The 26,486-nt window shown below is 35.5% G+C and overlaps 1 protein-coding gene across 6 annotated transcripts in view; it reads right to left on the bottom strand.

Moving 5' to 3' along the window:
* The window catches only part of HMCN1 (hemicentin 1), a 456,559-nt gene that overhangs the window by 109,555 nt on the left and 320,518 nt on the right, over positions 1-26,486 (bottom strand). For all 6 annotated transcript variants that reach the window (NM_031935.3, XM_011510038.4, XM_024450118.2 and 3 more), the window contains 12 exons: positions 25,721-26,002; positions 23,994-24,161; positions 19,431-19,544; positions 18,795-18,881; positions 15,966-16,157; positions 13,388-13,561; positions 11,619-11,732; positions 10,638-10,783; positions 6,504-6,654; positions 4,773-4,967; positions 3,175-3,288; positions 1-188 (listed from right to left, as the gene is read on the bottom strand). In NM_031935.3, the coding sequence (NP_114141.2) occupies positions 1-188; positions 3,175-3,288; positions 4,773-4,967; positions 6,504-6,654; positions 10,638-10,783; positions 11,619-11,732; positions 13,388-13,561; positions 15,966-16,157; positions 18,795-18,881; positions 19,431-19,544; positions 23,994-24,161; positions 25,721-26,002 (1,925 nt within the window). The remainder of the gene's footprint in view (positions 189-3,174; positions 3,289-4,772; positions 4,968-6,503; positions 6,655-10,637; positions 10,784-11,618; positions 11,733-13,387; positions 13,562-15,965; positions 16,158-18,794; positions 18,882-19,430; positions 19,545-23,993; positions 24,162-25,720; positions 26,003-26,486) is intronic.

The following is a 26,486-nucleotide window of genomic DNA, read 5'->3' as shown; positions in this document are numbered from 1 at the left end:
CTGCAGAATTCGTCCATTAGATAGAAATTTATGATGGTCATCTTCTAGCAAGGGCTGTCCATCTTTCTGCCAGGAATTCCTTGGTGCTGGGCTGCCACTGGATAAACACTCTATCAGTGCACTCTTGTTCACCAGCACGGTGACCTCTTCAGGGAGATCACTATTTGCTCCCTTGATAATTGGCGGCACTAACAAAGGATTGCAACAAAGGGAGAAAAATGGGCAACAGTCTTTTCTAAATCATGCTAATTTTCTGACAGCTTTAAAAACTTTGGGATAATAATAGAGAAGCAAAACTTGAAGGAGAAACTATATGATCCCCAGGTAACATTTTATACTAATAAATTGGGGTGGTGAAAACAGTATTTGAATTTGGCTTTATTCTCTTCCCTCTCTTCACTTATGCTAGACTAATCCCTCAGATAGTATCATTCCCCTTTAGCCCAATCTCAATTCTTCTCCAATATATCTTTTACTTCTCTCTCAGCCCCTCCCACTATACCTTCTGAGTTTTCAAGCAGACATATAAGAAGCATCTGTATAAATAGATATTTAAGTCTATATGGTCATCCAGAGGGGACAGAAAAATTACACCTTTTAAAGTGTAATTGAAATGTTCAGATTTGGCCTTATTTGGAAAGGAATTGCCTGGGTGATTCAAAGTGTGTTTCCCAGCCTCAGCACCAGTGGTATCAGCATCAGCATCATCTGCGAGCTTGGTTAAAAATGCAAATTCTTGGGCCCCAACTAACTTCAATAGGCATCTCTGAGAAGGGGCCAATAAATCTGTGTCTTAACAAGCTCTTCAGGTGATCTTTATGTATGCTAAAGTTTGAGAAGTCCCACTCTAGATTTTTCTACATGTGTTCATTCTTGTTGAAAACAATACTATAGAATCCAGCTACACATTAGTTATGAAAAATCACGTTACCCATAGAATTTTAAAAATGAAAATGTTAAATGAACTAGGAACACATGTTGACTGCTTTGGTAAATGTAGAAATTGATTTTTAAAATAATCATTTTTGTTTTGAAAGCTTATTTCCCCCCCACTTTAAAAATATACCTTATCTTTAGCAATCAGTGAAGACTGCAAGTTGATGTAGATGCTATCTTGTGGTATCTGGGTTTCCAACAACTAAACTGAAAGTTTGTAAAGAAAATACTCAATGCCACAAAGCACACAATAGAATTTCAATGTTATTTTGAATGCGTACTTTCACATTCAAAGCTACGTGATTGATTTTATTATACTTCAGATAATATAAAATGTATAATTTGAACTGCAGATTACTAAATAATAAACTTGAGTTTTAGATTAAATGAGACTATCACCACCCAACATCAAGAAAACCAATCAAGAGCTGAAGCATTAGGAGGGCTAGGAGATTCAGGCACTGACATGCAGAGGCCCCCACCTCAGCTCTTTGCTTCCACCTGCTCCAGCTGCCACACCCTACTAGTGGGTTACACCACTCAGAATTGTTCTCAGTGGCCCTCCCTGCACCTGGGAGGTGAGCAGCAGACTTGAAACAGCCCTAACTCAGAATTTGGGGACCAGTTAATTTTCTTGCTTTGTTCCACCTTCTAAACTCATCTCCAACTTGCTTGCTGACTTCCTAATTGAAAATAACAGCCTGAGGCATGAACATCTACCCTTGACCATCCAATCCCATAGTTTCATTTCAATTTCACTGAATCGCAATCTTTCCCTACCTATATTATCAACTCCTTCTACTCACCCTAAATTAAACTCTTTCCAAATTTAGGCCTGTAAGGTACATGGATGTGTTTGGTCAAGGAATAGGCAGAGGCAGACATCCAGGCCTGCATGACTCAGTGGGATTGATGCGCAGGCACACAACTCTACTTGTTATATAACCTGTTTGTGTAAGTTCATACTTGGCTCTGAGCCACTATTGTCTGTAGAAGGTATAACTGCTCTGCGACACTGTGCACGGGGCTCAGTTTGGCATGGCATAGCATGGCTTGACATGGCTTGCGTGTGCCCAGAGAGAGAGAGTAATACTACTGACCACTGTAAGGGAGAGCCAGGCTCCTTTAAGGCAGGCAGGAACCAGCTCGTCCCCAGAGAGAAAGAGTTAAGCTGCTAACACTGCAAGAGAGAGCTGGCCTTGCAGGCCAGCCATAGAGCTATGCACGGGAGCCGGCTGCTGAGAGGAGCCACAGAGGCAGAGCAAAAAGCCAAGATAAAGGGGGACAGTGTAAGAGAGCTAGTGTGAGAGAGCTGCTGATGAGAGAGCTGCTGATGAGAGAGCTGCTGATGAGAGAGCTGCTAAACACAACTAGAGCTGGGGATCGAACCTGATCCTAGGCAGGACATATGGCGTAGCTGTGAACCTGACAAGGTCAAGTTAAGCCAGGTGGTCCAAGATATTCCTTCACTGTCCTTGACAATGTCAGCATTGATTTTTTAATTGTCATCTCATCTCTTTTCCTTGTAACTCTCTCATGAACTTTAAAATCTATGTTAATTGTTATGTCACTTATCTTTTCCCTTACAGGAAAAATACTTCTTCAACTCTCTGTTCATGCATTCAGATGGTGATTTGGTTCAAGGTTGGACACATGAACTAGACCTTATCAATTAGAACATTGCAACCTCTTGCTGTCTGTGATTGGCTCTGGATGGATACGTGATTCACACTTGGCCAATTAAAACCACGGAAATTCAATTCTAGGGCTTCAATTGTAAATACTAGGAGAAAAAACTTTCATTTGAATGTGGAACTAGGAGGATGCAAGCCTAGAGCTGCTAGAGGCCACCTTGCTATCCAAGGGGATCCCCCTCCCTGAGAGTGACATTAATAAAGAAAAGCAGAGTCGAGAGAGGTAAAGTCTGGTTGACCTCATTTGAACCACAGAAGTCAGACATGACTGTAGCCAGCTCTATTTTGGGACTTTTCTGATTCATAAGTCAATGAATTCTTTTTGTTTGTTTGTTTTCATTTAAGTCAGTTTGTTTCTTAATACTTCAAGAGTCCTGACTAATGTGCTGTCAATTTGTAGAAGATAATTACCTCCTTGGGAGAACTATCAGTTTCTGGTTATCTTTATAGTCTCAAAAGCGCTTAGTGTAACATCCTGCAAACATTAGTTCCTCAAAAATACTTTTCAGTAAAAGAATGAACAATAAACAAAAGAAAAACTCACCGAGTACACGGACATCATATTGAAGGGAATCTTCTCCAGCCTCATTCACAGCCACACATGTGTATCTCCCAGCATCTTCTACTTTAGCCCGAGGAATCTGCAACACTCGCCCTCCTGAAAATAATATCCCACTATGTTTACTCCTCTAATCTTAGAGTGAACACAAGCCATAAACAGATACAAATTTTCAGGTCTAATGACTGCCTTACATTTTCTTTCAAGGTTCCTGTTTCATCCAATGGTTCAGTTTTAATCTCAGATACCACTTTTACAACAAACACTGCATTATTAAAAAGTGAGCCAACATATGAATCGGAACTCCTGAGAAATGAATAGCTCATGTAGATTTTCCTAGAAGGGGGACTGCTACTCTATGTGCTTCATCATATTTCCTAGGGAATGTTACTATATAGTGACTCCTTGCTTTTATAGTTTTGAACACTTTTAATAGAAGTTTACACCATTTGCTGCAAGTACTTGTTTGAGAAAGCAATATCCAAGGTTGTAAAAGTATAAAGTGTACTATTTTACATACATTCTTATGAGGATAGCTGTATATTTTTAAACATCATGTAGATATAATTTCAAATTTAGAGAAAAGTTGCAATAATTATATAAAGACTTTTACTCATGTTCACTAATTATTTATATTTCACTCCATTTGCCTTATCTCTCTCTGTCATATGTATATAATCTTTTTCTGAACCATTGAAGAGTAAGTTGGAGACATGGTGCCCTTTCACCCCTAAAATACTCATAAATCCATATTTCATAACAAGGATAATCCCTTATATAACCGTGTTACAATGATTAAAAACAGAAAATTTAAAATCAAAACAAAACTACTATTGAATCCGCAGTCCATAATCAAATTTCATTATTGTTGCAATAATGTTTTTTATAGCCATTTTCCCCAAACCCAGATCTAATTTAGGATCACATATTAGACAGAGTTACCCTATCTACTTAGTCTCTTTTCATTTTTATTTTCAGGATACTCTTTTATTTAATTGGGGTCAAATTTACATTCAATTACTTACTGCACTGACCTTAAGTGTACAATCTGATGAATTTTGATAAGCCCTGTATATCTGAATGCTTGTTAAAATTAAATAGAAGCCTTGAAAATATTATTCCATAACAGTTTAAACATCTTTGCAATCAATAAACCAGATAACAATTTAAATATTTGAAACTAATAATCTTCCCTATTTATTTATGATAAGTGCATTTAATAAACTGAGCAGTAATGATCTGTAAATATATATTAGCATTTATGTTAATAATATATATAAACCAAACTGATTATCTTATTGCACTAAAAGAGAAATGGAGGCACAAGGAAGCCAAAGGACTTTGAGTTGATAGAGTGATGCGTAGTAGATCTGAAAAGTTTACTAAGCTATTTTCTCCTATTGTCTAATTCTCAAGCAAGACTCTTCTAGATTGAAGCTACGTGGATGCCAGTGGCATTCAGCAGTCTAACTGCCAGTTAAATTACTTAGCCAGAGACCCAACCAATTCAATTCGTCTAATACATGAGAGGAAACACATTTGGCAGAGAGTCAGCTTTTCACCCTGTTGGTATCAATCTTTACCTGGCAAAATCAATACTTTATCACTTGAGGTCAGAGGGTGGCCATCTTTGTACCATGTCAGTGTAGGAGGGGGAGCAGCATTTGTCTCACAGTAAAGAGAAATGGGATTGTTGATGATCACATCTTTGGCTTCACCATTCCTGCCAGTATCTAGCATGTTTCCTATTTCCCAGAGTTTCTGAAAACTTGGAGGAACTATGGAGGAAAGGCATTAAATGTTGGTCACATATAAATGCTTAAACAAAGATCTTGGCTGTGTTTTCACCAGAGTGATTTGTAAAAGCAATAGATTAGACAATGTGGAAATAATTTCAAGTACTGACGCCACCACCAACTCTAGCCCTTAGCCAAAAAAGTAGTACACGAAAGTCGGAGCTGGTTGTCAAGTGGAAGAACAAGAAGTATGAGGCTCAGAATGCTGTGTTTATGCTTTGCTCTCCCCGTTAAAGGGCTCTGGCACTTAGACAATAAAGGGGCTCACTCTCAGGAAGGAGCATTGCTAAATGATACACAGCAGGAAAGACTAATTTTGAGAAACCATTAAAAAATACTGGTTCAATTGAGAGCATTTCACAGTGATTTGGCTTACTAAGAAGGCTAAAGAAATTATGCAATCAGGATTAAAAATTCCATTAACAAAAATAATAGGACATTTTCATACTTTTCTGGGGACAAGTATGAACTTTATGAAAGGCAATTTGCCTGCACATCAAAAGCATTAAAAGAGTGCATAACATAAAATTTATCACAGAAAAAAGTACATTTAACCTAAAATTTCCACCCTTAGAAAATTATGAAAAATCAAAGATGTACAAAAGTTTTATGTATAAAGATGTTCAGTGTAGCATTATTTATGAGTGGTGAAAGCTTAGAAACAACCCAGACATTCAACAATAGAAGTCTGGTTAAATAAATATTTTTTGGATATTCAACTGGTGAAACAGACATAATTATTAAAAATCATGTCGAATAGTTAGCAACATCAAGAGTAACAATATAAACAACAATAATGGCAGGTATCATTTCTCAATCATTTTGCTAGGAGCTTTATATACTTTATCTCATTTAGTATTCACTGCAATTCTACAAGACAGTCATGTTACAAATGAGGAAACAATCTTAAAATTTAGGTAACTTTACTAAGTCACAAAGCTTTTAAAAGCCATAATCATCATTCAATTCCAAGTCTGTTTTGTTATGTTGTTTGCTTGTTTTTATTTTTACATTTATTTATTTATTTATTCCAACTTTCATTTTATGTTTATGGGGTACATGTGCTGGTTTGTTACATGAGTAAATTGCATGTTTTGGGGGTTTGGTGTACACATTATTTCATCACCCAGATAATATGCCCAGTAGTGGACAGGTAATTTTTTATTACTCTGAATTCTGTACTGTACTACTTTCCTGCCTTTCATGTAAATGCTGCTTTTAAAACTTCATGATATAAAGTTAAGGGAATGCTAATGCAACAGAGAAATCTATATTGTGTGACCTCAACTTTGTAGAAGTATACACTTTAAAATATCAGAAGGAAACACATAAAAATAACAGAGGCAATCCTGAATGATGGGATTATTTCCTTCTTTAATTCTCGAGTCTAAATTTTCAATCATGAATTTATATTATTGTCAACAGAAAAAAACACTGTTTAAAATAAGTCAAATCTCTTTTCTTTTACTTTGAAAGATCATATAAATTACATTATATACAATAAGCAATTAGTATTACCTTGAATATTCACATCAAAATCCAACTCATCTTCACCTGCAATGTTAGATGCTACACAAGTATATCGTCCGGTGTCTGATATTTGAGCCTCCTTTATTTGAAGTGTGTGTCCATTCGCAGCAATATTAACATGATCATCGGATTTAAGGGGCTGTGATTCAATTATAACAATGTTAGCATTAAGTGCTATAATGAATCCTCTAAGAGGCCATGCAGTTGATAGTTTTTGTGATTTTTTAAATAAATGAAAATAAAATTGTATGCAAAACATTCATGACAATAGTTTAATCAAAATAATTGATTTACTTTGATTAAACTCATTGTTTTTGACTAATCAAATTTTTATTTATTGAAATTGCTGCTGTTACAGTTTACATTTTTACGAGGCATTTGTGCATGATGCATTTATACATTTTTATGATAAATATATGTTCTTAGTTATCATATTAATTTATTCATGTTGGAAAAATTTTTTTCACTGATCTCATATAATATTTAAAAAGCAGTCTTTTATAATTTTGTAGAAAATGTTAGAATTTCTTTATGAAAGATTGAGCACATTAGTATAATCTGATTTGATCTAAATTACTTTTGTTCATTCAGAAACATCATTACTTTATAAATAAAAAATTTTAACCTAAAGATATTTATATTATGTTTTATTGAAATTATTACTATAAAATAGGATATTAACTTACATATATTCGTATTATGGTGTTTTATCAGTAACATTGCCTATAGCTAATAGAACATCTCCCATCTTCTCAACATTTTCATTTATACTAAATTCCCCCTCATTCATTGAAAATTTTAGCTCCGGGCTCACTATCATTCCTTCTAATGATACTCTTCTCATAACTCTTGGTGATTTCAATGCCCACAAAGATAATCATCCAATGCTGTGTTCTCTTAGCTCCTTGATCTCCTTCTTTTAATTTTCTTGTCCCTCACCCTTTCTCACCCACTAAATAGGAGTCATACCTAGACCTTATAATTACCAATAACTATGCTCCTTCATAATCTCAGTTTCAAGCTCTCATTTGGTGACTATCACTTCCTAGTTTTCTATTATTACTAATTTTCTTTAAGTTTTTTTTTTTTCATCCCATGGGAGCCCCACAATCCATTGACCTTGCAATATTTTCACTGCCACTCAGTCTCCTCCTGACTTCTATTCCCTTCTTACCCAGAGAAGATCTGTCATGATAATTGTTCCTTGTATAAAACTCTCAACTCTTTTGCCTCCTCTCCCTTTATTTTACTCCCCTGGCAAAACCCTAACTGGTTAAAATCAGTTTCTGCTCATTCTGAGAATTTGCTGGTCAAGGGCATCCCTCCAGCAACTGTGTTTCTCTCACCTACATCATCATTAACTTATTTCTTTCCACTGGATGATTTCAGCCTAAAAAAACAAAAACAAAAACCTCTCTTGCTGCAGCCCACCTCTACATTTCTACATTTGTTGCCAAATGACTTAAAAATATTTTCTATACTTGTGGACTCCAATTACTTTCCTTCAGTTTTTTCCTTCCATCATTTCTTGATATGTTCCAATCAGACTTTCACTGTTTCTTCTTGATCAAAAATTCTTTGCCAAGGTCACCAATGACATTCATGCTGGTAACTTCTAAGTACTTATTTTACCTGATCAGTATCATTTAACAGAGTTTAACTTGTGTTCATTTTGAAGTACCTTTTTCACTTATCTTTTGGGACACTACGCTCCCTGCTCCCCAACTTTAAATACAGGAGTACCCTGAGGCTTAATCCTTAGACCTCTTCTCTATTTACTCTCACTTATCTTGAACCTATATTTGATCTCCTTCCTACACATCCCACACCTCCTGCTACCACCTTGGTCCAAGCAACAACCATTGCCCTTTTGGTGGAGATGCAATTGCCATAACCATTGCAATAACTTCATAGCTGGACCTTTTCTTTATTCTCCAAGTACAGAAAGAAATGCAATCTGCTTAAAACCTTAAGTCAGATTGTGTCATGTCATTCTTGTGTTCAAAATTTCCCAGTCGGCTTTCCGTCAGAATAAAGGCCAACTGGCACAAGGGGCATCATGGTCTGGCTCTCCATTAGTCTTCTGCTCACATTTTCTGTTCCCATCTGTCACTGCACTTCAGCCCAAATGCCTCAGGGCCTTTGCCCTTGCTGTGCTCTTTACTTTGGAATATTTTGCCCTCTATTATTTTATGTCTGCTTCCTTCATTTTGGGTTTCTGTTTAAATGTCACCTTATCAGTGAGGTCTTCCCTAAGTAAGAAATCACACTCTCCACCCTTGGTTTCCTTCTCTCATATTGAGTTTTCTCCATGATACCTGCCCCACCTGACACATTATGTCTTATTGGTTTGGTTTAGTTTTGCCTTCCTAAACTTCACATGAGTAGAAATTTGTGTCTGTTTCTTTCACAGCTGTATTCCCTGCATTTAAAACAGTGTCTGACAAATAGTAGATGTTCAACAAATAATTCAGAATGCAATTAATCATTATTAACATTGTATCACTTATATAAAAGTAGCATAATTTAAATTTTTTTGCTAAAAGAAAAACTTCAGGGTATGAATAAATAAAACTCAAGATTCTATCAAAACTTATTGTGGCCAATACTTTGTCCAGTTTTTAATGTCTGTCAATATGTTTTGTGTTTCTTTTCTTGAAAACACTACTTCACTTTAGTATTGCTCATCTGAAGACTGAAATAACAGGAGAATGAATATGGAAAATAAATTTTAAAATAGTACGTTTTTGTTCACATTCTAGGAGACCAATTGCAAACCCTAAAACACCTAGCAGTGTAAAGCATCATAATTGGGTCAATTTCAAAGCCTGAACCTGAAGCTGCAATTTAACAACTTATAATGAAATTTTCAAAAATAAGACAAAAATGCCTCATTTCCTGTGCACTTTTAGTCTTTACCCAGTTTTTAATGTGTGTATGTGTTCATGTACATGTGAGCATATGTGGTAACTATAAGGAATGAAACAACTTTAGAAAAGATTAAAATATTTCAAAGGAGAAAGGGATTATTTGTTTCCAAGTAAACTCATAAAGAATTGATATTGTACTATGAAGTGTGCTTGTAGTCAGAAAAGAAACTATAAACGGAGCATGGTGGGAATTCTATATTTTCCCTTTTGCAATGGCTTCCAGATGAAACTTGCTTATTTTATAAGATGACTTTTTTTCTAGCTGCCAATATTGCAAAATCCATCTGAAATCTGAAAAAATAAAGCTATATCTTTCCTGCATCTTAAATCATGATTATGATCTGAACTTCTACAACTGGAATTTGACTGACTATTTGGTTGATTATGTGTAAAACAGGACAAACAGCAGCTTAGCCGTTTCACATCTGTATTAAGTACGGTGTTAACAGCTGCTTAAAAATCTATTTTGGTCTAAGATCAACAGCACATATGTCTTTTAAAACATGCATGGAAGAACATAAGTTGAATGAGAAATATGGATATGTGGTCTGAAAATCAGATCACAGAATTGAAGGATCTGTCTTTTATTTAAAGTTTCTCTGTTCCCAGTTAACTGTACTGGGCCCTTCATCATCTTTTTTAGCTTTTTGTCTTCATCTTGGAATATTTTAAAACATTACCTTTTGTAAAAGAGTTAAAGATACTTAAAGAATATCTGAGTAACTTTAGTAAATTTAGTACCCATGTTATACCTGTCATTCTAACCCGGGATAGCAACATTTATGTGTTGCTTCTTTACCTGGTTTACTTATTCTGTAAAACTGCAAAATAACAACAGCAAAAAAATGAAAAGAACTGTTTCCCTAACTTCTCCAGTGGGAGGGTGGCCAGATTTTCATAGACAACTGCTAATATACAATTACAATTGTATATTAATTAACTGCTAATATACAAATACAATTACAAAATAATTATGCAAACTTTCCAGTGATGGAATAATGCTAAAATTGTTGAACATCCTTCAGGTTGGTTGGGTTTTTTTTTTAAGTTTTAGATTCTAGGAGCATGGCATTTGCTAGTTTTAAGATCACATTGATTCTCTGAGTCACTTGTGTCTATTTTATTATTTCTTTTCAATTGACCATTTTAGTCTTTAAGAAATCATCAGCAAATGAAAAAAGTTGTGACTGGCCTGTCCATCCTTGTACCAGCTGAGGGAGGCAGAAGGAATTGCATACGCTTCACATTCCAAGGTCAGAGTGTTGTTTACTTTGATCTTCACTTCTTTAGGGGAAAGACCTGGCCCCCAAAGGTCCCCTTTATTGATTATGGGTGGAACTGCATAAAATAAATATTAAAGAGTTAGACATTGGTTATTTTCAATACATGGAATACCACAGAAATCACACTGAGGATTACTTATCAAGAAAACAAGGAAATAACAGAGGCATTCTATGCTGACCTTTCATTAAGTATCTAAGTTAACATCTTATGAAAGAGTGTTCAAATACAAGATGGAACAGGAAATCTCTTTCTCCCTTTATCATGTGATACTGCCAATAAAGCTAATGTCCTTTACAGAACAGTTAGCTTCATTTGTTCCAGGTCCACAGACATAGTCTGAACATGATCCTTAAAATGTATCTTATTGGTCATTAAGGGTACCAAGTCAAAGAACAAAAGATAATCAGAAAGATACTCTTCCTTTACAAACACAAAAGCAAAATTCTGAAATATGAGTCCCATTAATGGCAGTGTTAGCTTTGCTTTTTATTTATAGGTCAATGTACATTGGAATAGCTCAAAGTCACTAATGACCTCATCTTGGGCTGTTGATTAGAACATATGCATCTAACGACAGTTTTGTACATGAAAGTACTACATCTCAACCCAGAGGGTAATTCAGAAGGAAAAACAGAGAAACTTAAGGAAATGCCACTGACAAAGTCTCCAACAGAGAGTAATGAGCAGATTTAGTAGGCTCTTCACATCTTGAAGCAATTGAGGCCATAGACACAATGCTTAATTCAACTTCCATCCTTAATAAAGTAAGCTGCACAAACAAGTCTTTAATGGTGAGTATAAATAATTATGAACCCATAATGAAAAACAGGATTGAAAAAGTTAGAAAAATTGGGGAAGCTATGAAACATAGTATTCTTTCAGAACTTACTGTACACCTTCACTTCATAGTGCTTTATCATTTCTCCAGCCTCATTCGTGGCTACACAAGAGTATCTTCCAGCATTGTCCTCCTGTGCATTGAGGATCTGCAGAGTTCTGCCTCCTGTAAAATCATGGGACATCAAAGAGTCTCTAAAATCACAGTGACAGTGGAGTACACACAGGCTATCAGGGGTTTACGTCTTCTTGTTAACATATTTCTTTTTACATATGACAATTCTGTGATGGACATATGATATAAGATAAACTGCAATACTGATGGGGATTGCATGGTATCTGAGGACAGCTGCTGAGTCCCCAGTGGTGCTCTGTGGTGATGACTCTCATGCTCATTCAGACCTGCCATGCCTTTGTATACCACTCTAGCTAAGATCCTTCATAAGGTCTTTCATCCTCTTCATAAATAGGTTTCTGCCTTAATCATCTTTTCGTCTTATCTACCTAGCCTACAGGAGAAATTAATTGTGCTGAAGCAAAGTTTTTATTTTGGTCCTATCCTTCTTAAATATCTTCAATCGTTCTCAATTGACCAACATATAAAGTAAAAACTCTTAATTCTTAATTCAGGCATTCAAAACATGACTCCAGCTTTTCTTGCTGAACTTATTTCCTGCCCCTCTGCCAACATACATACACACAATATTTCCACTCAAGTTTCGGGTAGTGGGTGAGAATTCTATTGCGCAGGGCTAGGCCATTCTCACTTTATACTTTTCCCACACAGGTTACCCTGATGGAACTGAAACCTCTCCTAACTCATTGCCAATCAACTAAATTCTAGAATGTTCATTAAAGTCTCATCCAAGTTCTGACTAAGCAACAAAGCTTTTTCTGACCACTTCAGCCTACAGTGCCCATTTCTTCATTTGAAGTCTTTTTTTTTTTTTTTTTTTTTTTGAGACCGAGTCTTGCTCTGTTGCCCAGGCTGGAGTGCAGTGGCACGATCTCGGCTTACTGCAACCTCCGCCTCCTAGGTTCAAGTGATTCTCCTGCCTCAGCCTCCCGAGTAGCTGGGACTACAGGCATGTGCCACCACGCCCAGCTAATTTTTTGTATTTTTTTAGTAGGGACAGGGTTTCACTGTGTTAGCCAGGATGGTCTCAATCTCCTGACCTCATGATCTGCCCGCCTCAGCCTCCCAAAGTGCTAGGATTACAGGCGTGAGCCACCGCACCCAGCTTCTTCATTTGAATTCTTATAAAACTCTTTCCCTATTTATCATACCCCCTGACTATTCAGAATCCATGATTTTTCACAGATTCATATTCTTAATCAACTCTTTGCACATATTACCTCTTCTCAATATAAGACTGTCAGTCTCTTAAAGCCAGAAATAATCCTTTATCTTTTTATTTGCATTATCTATTTCCATGCAGTAAAGAGGAACAAACTCTCTCACCTTGAATTAAACTTTGAAGGAGAGTTAATATTTAATCAGGAATGAATTTCTACCCTTTTTGGCATTCATATTATAATATATTTTAGCAGTTAATTACATTGTGGCATTTATTTATTTGCCTTTTAATTTAGGTATTCTTCTGATCTTTTAAAAAGTAATTTTCAGTACTTTACAGCAGGGGTCCCAATCCCTGAGCCATGGACTGGGACCAGCCTGTGGCCTATTAGGAACCAGGCTGCACAGAACATAACACAACCAACAAAACATTGGTGTTTTTATAAAAAGTAACCAATGATTCTGCTTTTCTAGAATAGTAGATGACGCAGATGCATCTTGGACATCTGAAGCAAATGAATTACCTGGAAGAATACGAATATTTCGGTTAGATTCTAAAGGAGTGCCATCCTTAAACCAGGTGATGGTAGCTGGAGGATATGAATAAGCTTCACAGACCAAAGATGTAGGGCTGTTAAGGATGACAGTGACATCTTCAGGGTTGCCATCACTACCTACACCAGCAATTGTAGGAGATACTGAAAAAGATGAAAATTTGTTGAAGAAATATATGTAGAAATTTGTATATTTGTGCATTTCTAAATTTCCATTATATGTATTTGTATAATTTCATTCCCTAGCAGTTACAGAAAACAAATTATTATTATTATTATTATTTTACACAAAAGAGTGATCCCTTAAAAAACTCATAGGGTAATGGAGGAGATGACACATAAAAAGGAACCATAACACATAAAAAAACCACAATGTAGTAAGGGCAATAATGGGAATGCTGGTGCAAGGTAAATGGAGGTTTTTTGGAAATGAGTTAGCATCCAGTCCAGTTTGAGGTGTTTAGTGTGAAGGGTCTCATTAGAGAAGGCCTCTTAAAGGAAGAGGATTTAAAGTGAGCCTTAAACGATCAGTGGTAGTTAGCAGGTGAAAGCAGAGACTAGTAAGAGGGAACATGTTGGGAGCATGGTAGTATTAAATTGTAAGCAATGAGGGGCAAGCAGGGTATATCGGGAGGATGAACTCAAGTGGATCAATATTGGAAGCAAGGATAGCTGAGACAGGTACATTTGTTTTATAAAATATAACGAGGAACTGAACTAGAGCATTAAAGGAAGGTATAAAGTGGAAGGAGCAAGTAAAGAAAGATTTAGGGCATTACTGACAGGACTTGATTATGGAAACTGGGGGGCTAAAGGAAACTGAAGTCAAATATAACTTCCAGTTTGCTTGCTTGGGAACCTAAACTGCAGAGAAGCAACATAAAAATATAAAATGTAGAAAGATTTGCTCATTTAGGAAGGGAAAATAGTTTGTTCCATTCTGAATATCTTGTATTTTAAGTGCTTATGGGAATTTCAGGTGGAAATGCCCGACAAGCAATTCTATATAGGAATTTGAACCTTGCAAGAAAGATCTGGGTTACAGGTATACATTTTTAAAAGTTTCTTGTGTATAGAAGATAATTAAACATCTGGGAATGAATTGTATTACTTGAAGAGAATATGTAGAGTAACACAAGCAGTGAAGTAAGGACAGAACACTAGGGAACCCAGTATTTAAGAGGTGGCTCAAGCTTCCATAAAGGGCAGAGAAAGGGAGCAAACAAAGATATGTGAGGATAACTGGGAAAGAGCATTGTGAAGGAAAAAAGAGATCAAAATGTACAAAACATTAAAATTGGGACTGCAAGATATTTGCTGGACCTAGAAAAAGGGAAGTGCTTGCCAGAGTAGTGTCAGACAGAGCCTGTTTTCAGTAGGACAGCAAGTATATATATCTGGGCATGGTTAAAATATGAAGTGGTGGAGACAGTAGACGGTGAAGCTGCAAGCAAGGCAGATGGTGGAAAGATACAGGGTCGAGGGTGTAAGTGCAAGGAGTAACTGAACAAGAAGGATAAGTTATCCTCTGAGAAAAGAAAGGGTAAAGGCACTGACTTTTGGCCGGGTAGATTGGAAGTTGCAAACACATGCACTTAAATAGCCTCTACTTTATGAAGTTGGTGGAAAAGGGCTTTGATTCAGATCTAGATCCCTCAGTCTTCAATGAATGAATGAATGAATGAATGAATGAATGAACATATATATAATACCAGATACTGTATGTCAATTTATACACTTATACACTTATGACATTTATAAGTTTCAATTTATACACTTACACACAATACAATATTGACACTTATACAGTATCTGGTATTTTGATGTAATTTTTCTTGCACATATAGCTCCCCTACTCAATTAGACTATCAGCTCCTTGAGGGCTGTGTTCAATATGAGAAGTTTCTATCTATGGTGGTATCTTTGTACTCCTTAAATGGTATAACCAATAACTATAAAAACAAACAACTATACAAATTTTCATACTCACATATAGGTCAGTTGATTTTAGTAGAATTATATGATATTAGGAATCTAATACAATAAATTTAGGGGGTAGAAATTTCAAAAAGTGAGCACAAGTTAAAAATCTATTTTAATGTCTTTCCTGAGACATAAGCCAGAACTGAACATACCAACAGACAGGTATTTCATCACTCTTAGTCCACAAAGACTATAATATGGCCAATTTCCAATAATGGCTAAGTCTCACAAAAAAAAGGATAGAATATCTCAGGTTGAGACCCAATCACTCTTTACCTGCTTCTCTTTGACCAACATATCTTTATCTTTTACTACTGATTAGTCTATCTTATTCAGAGTTGTGTCCCTAGCACAAAACACTGTGCCTAGAACATAGTAGGTATTCCATATGTCATAAATTAATTTATAAATTAATTCAGGAAAAATAGTAAATGTACACAAGCACTGGTCCTCCTTACATGATGAAATTCTACGACGGAAACATTACTTGAACAGAAAAAGAAAAGAAAATTTAGCCTACAGTCATGTCAGATTCTTTAAGATATGAAGAAAAGCCCACACCTACCAAATACATTAAGACTGAAGCTCCTGCTCTTGTGGCCAGCTGGACTGGAAGCCAAACATGTATATCTTCCAGTGTGTGGCACCTGGACATTGGTAATTTGAAGAAAACGGCCACCAGATATAATGTGATGGGCTTCATCTTCTTGGAGGGGCTGCCCATCTTTGTGCCATGTAATTTCTGGCACTGGATTCCCTGTAAAAATCCATTTCTGAGAGTCAGCTAATAATTACATGTATAGAATGAATAAACTTTGAAAGAGGAGGTTTTCACTCATTTGTCTTCCTACATATCCCATGTCTAAAACACGGCAGTAATCATTCATTTAAAAATAACTATGCAAGCTAACTTATTTTATAATAATAATGGTTATGTTGACTTTAAAAATATGCATAGATTATAAATCATTTTCAAATGTAGGTTAGTGTTCATCTATAAGTAAAATGATTCTAAATTGACCTTCATGTTTAACTAAATAACTAAATTTATACTATTTTTTAGACTATTACAACTAAGTATTTTGATAGTAAAGTACAGTTTTTAAATAATGCAGCATTCATTTTTATTAAAACTATTATTCGTGAACAGCTTTGTATTCATATACTTTTTTTTTTTTTTTTTTTGAGATGAAGTCTCACTCTGTGACCCAGGCTGGAGTGCAGTGGTGTGATCTCGGCTCACTGCAAGCTCTACCTCCCGGGTTCACTCCATTCTCCTGCCTCAGCCTCCCAAGTAGCTGGGACTACAGGTGCTTGCTACCACACCCGGCTAATTTTTTTGTATTTTTAGTAGAGACGGGGTTTCACCGTGTTAGCCAGGATGGTCTTGATCTCCTGACCTTGTGATCCACCTGCCTCGGCCTCCCAAAGTGCTGGGATTACAGGCGTGAGCCACCGTGCCTGGCCTCATAGAAAAATTTTCTAAAAGATTTTATATTTTTGACAAAAAGCTGTAAAAAAGCAAAACCTTTAATTAATTCAACATGCAGATATTTTGAGTCTATACCAGGATTCTATCATAGATAGATGGAAGAATATTGAACTGATCAATAGAGATAAAAATATATTAATTATTCTTTAATATTTACAGCCTCTAGGAAGAGATCCTGTATTTTTATTTTCAAATGAGATCTATGTTAAATATTAAGTTTTAAATTATTCAAATACTTAAAAAAAATTTTAAAACCATAAAAGCAAGTCATGTTAGGAAAGAGGGCTAGGATGATATACTAGCTTGAAGAGAGGATTTTATAAAATGTAGGCAATGCTTGTCTATGCAACTGTTGTAAATTACTATATTATTTCTAGAAAAAAATTATTAACAGGTTAATAGTATATATCACACTGTTTATATCTGCCTTTCTTAAAATAGAAACATTCCCCCCTCTGCTTATTTGAATTTATTGCTCACATAAGGCAGACAAACAATGAAATAAGAAACTCATTGAATCTTCCTTTAAACTCTGACTTTCCATAAAATGTTATGGGCTACTTTCATTCTTACTTTAAAACTGCAAGGCCATCTACAATAAAAAGACAGCCTTGAAAATATCCTCTTAGAGATGTGTTTATTTTGATTATATGCAAGAAATCAATTTACTGGTAAAGATGGTGAAACTGGTTTTAGAATTTTTATTTTTCCTACTCTATATTCCCTCTGTAATATTCAAACATGCTAACAAAAGGTAACAATATTGTTCTTGGAAAATCCCCACTACAAAATAACGTCATTCTTTCACCAAAACTCCAACCTATTTCTTTGAAATGAAATTTAAGAAAAAAAGGAAAAGAAAAGGAAGGCACAAACACAGGGAAGGAAACAAAAATTTAAAAAGGTAGGGCAAGATAAACATACATGTAAGTAGAAGCAGAATAATTTTTCAAAAGAGAATGATTTATTGAATTGAAGGAAAAGACTCCCTTCCTTCCTTCCTTCCTTCCTTCCTTCCTTCCTTCCTTCCTTCCTTCCTTCCTTCCTTCCTTCTCTCTCCGTCCCTCCCTCCCTCCCTTCCTTTCTCCCTCCCCACTCCCTCTTTCTTCCCTTCTTTTCTTTTTGGTATTTCCTTTTTGTCTCCACAGAATTTGAAAGGTTTCCTCCTACATTTCTACCAGCTATACTGGACTAGAATTTAATTTCAAATGCCAATTATAGTAGCTGAACTTTTCCTCAACTGATTAATATATAGTGGGACTCAATATCTACCCAAAGGAAAATAAGTCATAACAAAAAGATACCTGCATTAGTATGTTTACCAGAGCACTATTCACAATAGCAAAGATATGGAATCAACCTAAGTGTCCATTAACAGAGGTTGGGTAATGAAAATGTGATATATATATATATATATATATATATATATATATATGCACACACACACACACACACACACACACACACATTCCATGGAATACTACCTATCCATAAAAAGAATGAAATCATGTCTTTTGCAGCAATATGAATGGAACCGGAGGCCTTTATCTTAAGTGAAATAACTCAGAAACAGAAAGTCAAATATCGTATGTTCTAACTTATAAATGGGAGCTAAGTAATGTGTACAAATGGACATAGAGAGTGAAATAATAGACCTTGGGGACTAGGAAGGGTGAGAGGGTGGGAGAGGGATTGAGAGATGAGAAATTACCTAATAAGTAAAATGTACACTACTTGGGTAATGTTTACCATCACTGAGACTTCACCAGTACTCAATATATCCATGTAACAAAACCGCACTTGTACCCCCTAAATATATAAAAAATTTTTAAGATATATAGTGGAGGCAATGACTATCAGTGAGTGGGGGGAGCACCAAAAGTCTGAGAGCTGAGCCCATACCTGTCACTTCACAAGTCAGCGTAACACTCTGTTTCTCTTTTACCTTCACATCTTCCAATGTATTTTCACCCACAATATGAGGTGGTACTAAAAAACAACAACAACAACAAAATAACAGCTCTTAACAGCAAAGCTGCTATTTTATAGATATTTATGTATGGTTTTATTAAGCTATAACCTTCAAAACAAATCCCCCAATCCACATTCATTATTTGATTGCTAGAATGTCATAATATTATTTTGATCAAGTCTACTTTTAAAGTCATAAATCCAATTATAATGAATTTTATTGTAATGTAAATCATTAAGTCTGCATAAAAATGTCAACAAATCACCAAGAACATTTATTTGACTTTTATTTCTTCCACTATAACTCTAATATGTATTCACATTAAACAAGTCATTCAGCCTCTCAGAATATTGTTGAGCAATTGTGAATTAAAACAGGCATTTTAATTCCCCCAAACGATTGCCTGATTACCTCCAAACAATTCTGATATTGAATTCTTGCCAAGAGTCACAGTCCAGGGTCTAAATAACACAGGTATGAGATCAAGTGGTAAATAAATTTTAACTCTGCTTCCAGGATTTAAGGCAATTTAAGTTTCTTCTAGATATTGCAAACTATATAAGTACCTAATACTGAAAGCCCAAAGATTTTTCTTTCTTCACCAGCTGCATTCCTTACAACGCAAGTATATTGGCCAGCATCTTCCATTGTGGTCTGCATCAGCCGTAGCATCCTGCCTCCTGCAGAAGCAAACCATCTTTTTAAGATAACTTAAAAAGAAAAATGAAACTTTATAAGCCATCCAAGTGATGCTCAATTTCGGTAAAAATTTAATCAGTATGCTTTAGAGGCCCTTAAAATGAATTTATGTTAAGCTTTTTTAAAAATCACATTTTAAACTTCTATAAAACAAAATAGTTCAGAAAAATCTTCTAGTTCAATAGATAAAAAAATAAATATAATGTTAGGTGACAGCAAGCAAGAAATGTTGTTTCACAGAGAAGGTGATGTTTGAATATGATCTTAAAAGATAAGTATATTTTAACACGAGTTGAGAGATGCTGATATAGTTTGGCTCTGTGTCCCCACCCAAACCTCATCTCGAATTGTAATCCCCATAATCCCCTGGTGAGGGACCTGGTGGGAGGTCAAGGGAGGGACCTGGTGGAGGTGACCTGATCATGGGAATGGTTTCCCACATGCTGTTCTCATCATAGTGAGTGAGTTGCCATAAGATCTGATGGTTTCATAAGCGTTTGACAGGTCTTCCTTCACATACTCTCTCTTCTGCCGCCTTGTGAAGAAGGTGCCTGCTTCCCCTTCTGCCATAATTTTAAGTTTCCTGAGGCCTCCCCAGACATGCAGAATGTAAGTCAATTAAACCTCTCTCCTTTATAAATTACCCAATCTCGAGTATTTCTTTACAGTAGTGTGAGAACAGACTAATACAGATGCTATTGTGAGTGGAGTATGAATGAAGAGATAGATAGAGGTAGAAAGTAGGTGTGAGAAGTGGTATCAAAAGCAGAGCAGGTGGAGAAAATGGTAAGAGATGAGGCTAGATGGAGTATGGCCAGATTGTATGGGCCCATGAATGCTATGCTAAGGAATTTAGATTTTATTGCACTCACTAAAGACTATGGAGTGTATAAACAAACAGGGCTTATGATCTGATTCGTGCTTAGAAAGACACCTGTGATCAGATGGTTAGGAAAAGAGTCCTAGTTTTCCATTGAACATGTAATATGGGAATATCAGAAAGACAACCAGCCCAGACACCCAGATTTGGGTGACATCAATATATTACCATTACTTTCAATGGCAAAAACCACAATTACTTTTGCACCAACCTAATATAAGGAAGATAGGAGAATGAAGACTACCAGCTTTCAATTAAGCTTCATGGAATCCTACATTATATAAAATGTTATGGGGTCACTTCATGCACTAGTGATACACTGCTTTTGCTTCTTTTTGTATTTTGAACATCTATGTAACATTTTGTTTGAAGAAATATTCATCCAAGAAATGTATGTAGACTGAAAGTGAAACTCTAATATACTGGGGGTGTAATTTGGAGGAGAACTCTATTTAAAGATAAAAGCAGAGGAGCCAACAAATGAGATGAAACAAAACCTGCAGAGAACTAAGAGACACTGAGAGAACAAAGTCCTGGGCACCATTTGAGGAGTAAGGTCCAACAAAAAAGTAGGTCATTTATTGGATTGTGTAATAATTTTCTAGCTGGTATATTTTTGCTTAGCACCCTGAATTTGAATTAAAAACAGTATAATGGTTAACATGAAATTTTCATGTAAATGTTCACCTGGGTCTGGTTTCCCAGGGGTATTCTATCTGTTTTCTGTTTATGTAAACACAAGCTGACATTGAACTTTTTCTATAAGCAACCTTCCCACCCTAAACCCACTGAAAGGTGAACTTAGTAGTATCTTATTTAGACAAACAAAGCTAATTACCTGAATTTAGCCTTTTTTTCCCAATTGAATTTAAGTAAACAGAAATTTTGTTTACTTAAAAAGTAAAAATGCTTTAAAAACTTATGTCAATTAGGGAAGGATTCAAGCACTCACTGCCACTTCAGATTAGTGAGATCATAATATGATTCCAGTTGAGAGGTATTAAAGCAATACAACTTTTATGAATCACTGCTGGCTCTACAAACGTCAACCTCATAAGTTTCACGATTCTCCTTTTCTCTTTTTTCATGGACTTCTCGCTTAATCCAGTGAAAACCAAAAATGGGTTCTGACAGTAAATTATACTTATATGGAGACGTTTCTTGTACCTATTAAATTTTTATAACAGTTATCTGTTTCTGGCAGATAACTTCATAACAATGATAGGGTCTTCACCAAAGTACTGCTTTTAGAAAAGCTATGCTTAAATTCTCAGGAGGACTAATATTAATGAAATAGGCATGTACAGGAGACTGAAGACCAAGCAAGACATATGCCATTCGATTCTCATTTACCTATTGCACAACACAACATGTTCAGACTGTTAAACTGAATAACTCCTTTGGCAGCACCACAAGGTGAAATACTTATCATGTGTTCACTCAGGGATCTCCAGCTGCTAGTCAAGCACAACAAAGATAAATAAAACCAAAACACCACTTCTGTAAATTTGTAACAAGCTAGAGCACATCACTTTAGCTTGCCTTTTTCACTTCCAGGAGCTCTGCTGCACTTACTATATTTAATAAGAGTCCCTACTTCCTTAGCAAGTGAACATTTTTTAAAAAGCCAGAAAGATGAATATAATTTCAAGCCAAGAAGATAATGTGTTTAGGCTTTGGTAACCACATTTTAATACAATCTTTGTCATTAGTATGTATTTCTTAAGATCAACAGAGACTGAGAGTCCTGTCAAAGTGAAAACATCATAGTAAGGACATAGGAAAGTTTCCCAGGACAGGGAGACCACAAACCTTTTACCAGGTTGTCTATGACAATAACAAGAAATAGGTATTGGATGCTTACCATAGAAGCAAGTGCTGTGTTAACTGTTTTAGGTATCTCATTTCATCCTTACAAAAACCCTGAGGCAAATACTATTATTATCGCTTTACAAGTTATCAAACTGAAGTTAGCAAAGTTAAGTAACTAGTCTGAGGTCATAAATATAGTGAGTATTATAGACAATAAATGTGGTTAATGGTAATGTACATTCTTCCTCAAGCTCCTATCAGTTATAAACCAAGATCGGGAAGAAACAGGGGGAACTTAGGTTTTTTAGACCTAATTCCAGCACTAGGAAAAAATCTTTTCTGAATATGCCTTCAGTAGTGGTAATGTAAACTTTGAGCACATTTAGGTGAAGGGAGCTTACTGCCACTTAAAGTAGCTCATCTTGATTTTAAGCAAGCTAAATAATCTTTTAAGTTGTTTATATTCAGACACAAATCTATCCCTAGAATCTTCCATATACTGACATTACTTTTAACCTCTGGAACTAGAAAAAAACAACATAATCCTTTCTACACCATGGCTCTTCAAATATTTAAATTTACTTTGGATTAGATACCAAATACACCACAAGATTTATTTTTCCAGGTTAAATACAGACATATTAATCATTATGTGATAATTTCCCATCATAGTTATTTTCCTTTGCAAATACTGTCATTAAGCCTTTCTTCTTGTCTTTCTAATAAGTTCTGCTAAGTTTATAGTGCACACGATCTCTTGCTTTTCTTATTGGAGAAAATATAGTTTATTGATGTGGCAAAATATTACATTTGTTGTCTTGATAATCGCATTGTATTAATGCATACTGAGAAACTAACACAATTCAGACATCTTTTCATATTAAGAGTTCTGAAGCTATACTTCACCATAAGTTCATAACTGGTTTGACCGTAAGTGCAAAGAGATCATAAATTAGCATAATCAGATAATTATATAGAGGGCCATCATGAGCCTTACTTAACCTTCATCTTGTTAGCTTTAACCCAAAAGCTCCAGCATGAGGTGTGTTTGAATTTTGATGCCTTCAATCACACATTAGGTATTTTTCTAAGTATCTAAGCTTTTTATTAACCAAAAACTTGGCAAGATTATCTTAGTCTGTAACCAAGTCATTAATAAAATGGGCCAAGTGCAGATTTCTGCAGCTTGCCTCTCTCTACGCTTATATTGATCCACAAATGACAAGCTATTTAGATTTTCCCACAAAATTATATGAGGAATATGATCAATATCTCTTGAAAATAAAGTCTTAGCTCACAGGAAACTACCCATTTTAGAAATGTAAACATCATTGAGATTAGTCATGAATACATTGAAATATTAATATTTGGTTATAGAAGTATTTTATATACTAGGATTCACTGTAGAATTTGAATTCAATTTCAGCACTTCCTATAATTATTTTCAAATTGGTGGATGCTCACTGTAGCATGAATGCTTTGACATCTCCATGACTGTCGTAATCAGCGAGTGCCAAGATTTGTTTTTTAAAGGGGTCTAGAGATATTTGGAGATTTCTCATTTTCATATAGTTTCTTACATCCTTTTAAATATTTTTTCTTAATATGATTAGTGAATATTACAGTAAGCAGTAGGTTAAAAAATAAAACAATAAAAACACTGAGCAATTTGAAATTAAGGAGAAATTGTAGCCGTATGAAGCTAACAAGATTATAAGGCTACCAGAATTTCTAATACCTGAAAGAATCCTCACAGAATTGCTAAGGCTGACAGGCCACCCATCTTTGAACCAGGTTATGGAAGGCAGGGGAATTCCAGAAGCTTCACAAGTCAAAGATACTGAGTTCTTTTCTACCACACTAATATTTTCAGGTGACCTGTGGTTTCCTATGATGCTTGGAGGAGCTGTAAGACAAAATAAAACAAACAGGGAATGGAAATATTAGTTGCCTGATATACATTTGATATACCTGATGTTGTATATCAAACATCAAATCCTAAACAGTGTATGTTAATAAGACTTCCATTTTCTGATTAATAGTAAGCAAAATAAGCAATCACAACAACCAGCTGTGTGTGTGTGTGTGTGTGTGTGTGTGTGTGTGTGACATTCCTGGAAGTAAAAATGTCACTTCTTCCTCAATCTTAGCAGTAAATTATTTTCATATTGTTATTCCAATAGTGGTGAGTGATGTTGTATGAGTCACTCGCCCCCTTTTTTTTAATTGCAATTTCAACTTTCATTTTAGATTAAGGGGATTCATGTGCAGGTTTGTTACATGGGTATATTCTGTGATGCTGAGGCTTGGGGTATGATTGATCCTGTCACGTAGGTGGTAAGCATAGAACCCAAGAGTTAGTTTTTGAACTCCTGCCTCCTTTTCTCCTTCCCCTTCAGTAGTCCCCAGTGTCTACTGTTGCCATCTTTATGTCTTTGAGTACCCAATGTTTAGTTCCCACTTATAAGTGAGAACATGAGGCATCTGATTTTCCATTCCTGCATTAATTCACTTATGATTATGGTCTCCAACTGCATTCATGTTGCTGCAAAGGACATGAGTTTTGGCTGTGTAGTATTCCATGGTGCATATGTACCACATTTTCTTTATCCAATCCACCATTTATTAATCAGCACCTAGGCTGATTCTATGTCTTTGCTACTGTGAATATGAATCACTCATCTTTTCTTGCAAATTTGTAATATGGATTCATAACCTACTTATAGGAAAAGATTTCCTAAAAAATCAATCATCTAATTCTAAAAATTAAGAGTAATCCAACAAAAAGAACTTAAGATTAATTCATCTTCCCTTTTGTGTTGTGATTCCTATAGCTTTGGCACACACGTTGGCTGCAAACTGCAAGATATTAACACTGAGCTTCATGCATGTCTTAACTGAGTTGAAATTACAAGATTTGTGTCCATTAAATTTACCATTGTTCCTATAGCTATAAAAATTATAGTTCAAATTGTACACATCTAAGTCATTGTCCCTGTGTATGTGTATGTTTGGTCTATTCTTATTGACATTTATGACTTATTAATTAGAATTAGAATATTAAAGCTGACTTCAGTATAACTCATGCTCAACTGATGGTGAGTCAGTAAATTCTAAGGAGCTTACGTTTATACAAGCCCAGTTAAGTCAGCAAATTTGGAAAACATAAAAAACAGATTTTACTTGGGATAGCATTGGACCAAAAGCATTTGAAGACAACAATTTTCTACTTTACTGTGTGCTTTCCTTAAAGAATATCTAATATGCGCTTATTTCAGCAAGGTAAATAATGTGAGGTCAGGCATAGAAGGATAAATGATGAGACTGACCTGGGGAAAAGGTATATATGTTTAAAATGATGGGTTATAAATAAATGACTTTCAGTACTTGAGGCCTATATCTCCCATCCAGGATGCTAGATTACGTTAGCCAGTGAATGGACATATTGAGCCTCTTTCTACTTACCATGGACACTTAAGTCATATTTTTTGTCAGTCATTCCTGCTACATTCACAGCAACACACACATAACGGCCTGTGTCAGATACATGAATGTTCTTCAGCTGAAGGATGTGACCTTCATCCAGTATTTCTACTCCCTTTGCCTTGATCAAGGGGTGGCCATCTTTCATCCAGGTCACTGTTGGTGGTGGAATACCCTGCACCTCACACTCCAAGGAGATACTCTTCCCTCGGGTCACAATAATTTCAGTAGGGTGGCTGCCACTGTTGGTTATGGTTGGTCTAACTGAGGGTTGGAGGAAGATAAAAAGAAACAAAAGAGGAAATGTTTGCTTCAAGTCTTACATAGGAATTTTCATCAGCCAAACTTAAATATATTTTTATGTTAAAATATAAATAACTAAAGAAAAGACCCAGGACTAACAGACATGATGTTATGCTGAGAGGCGGAATTCTTCTCCAATGTGTTAAGTGGGTTCATACCTAAAATGAAGCTATTGACACAGTAAGTAAAGATTGCTGTGTTCACTAACTTCCCACTTTTGAGAAGCTATACAAATATTTGAACTTATCACTTGTAGCCCTGCCTTACGTAAGTCTTCCTAATACTTATTTAAAATAGATATAGTAGCCTAGCTTACAACCCAATGTCTGTTACTAACTCCTTTATCCCTTCTCCCTTTTACAATATGAGTTGGAAAAACTGAGATGGTTTCTCAGTCTTGTTGGAAAACTGGGGTAACCACATGAATGAATTTAGGTGTATAAAA

The sequence above is a fragment of the Homo sapiens genome, chromosome 1 (genome assembly GCF_000001405.40).
Source record: "Homo sapiens chromosome 1, GRCh38.p14 Primary Assembly".
NCBI classification, from domain to species: domain Eukaryota; kingdom Metazoa; phylum Chordata; class Mammalia; order Primates; family Hominidae; genus Homo; species Homo sapiens.
This window is presented reverse-complemented; position numbering and strand designations above follow the sequence as displayed.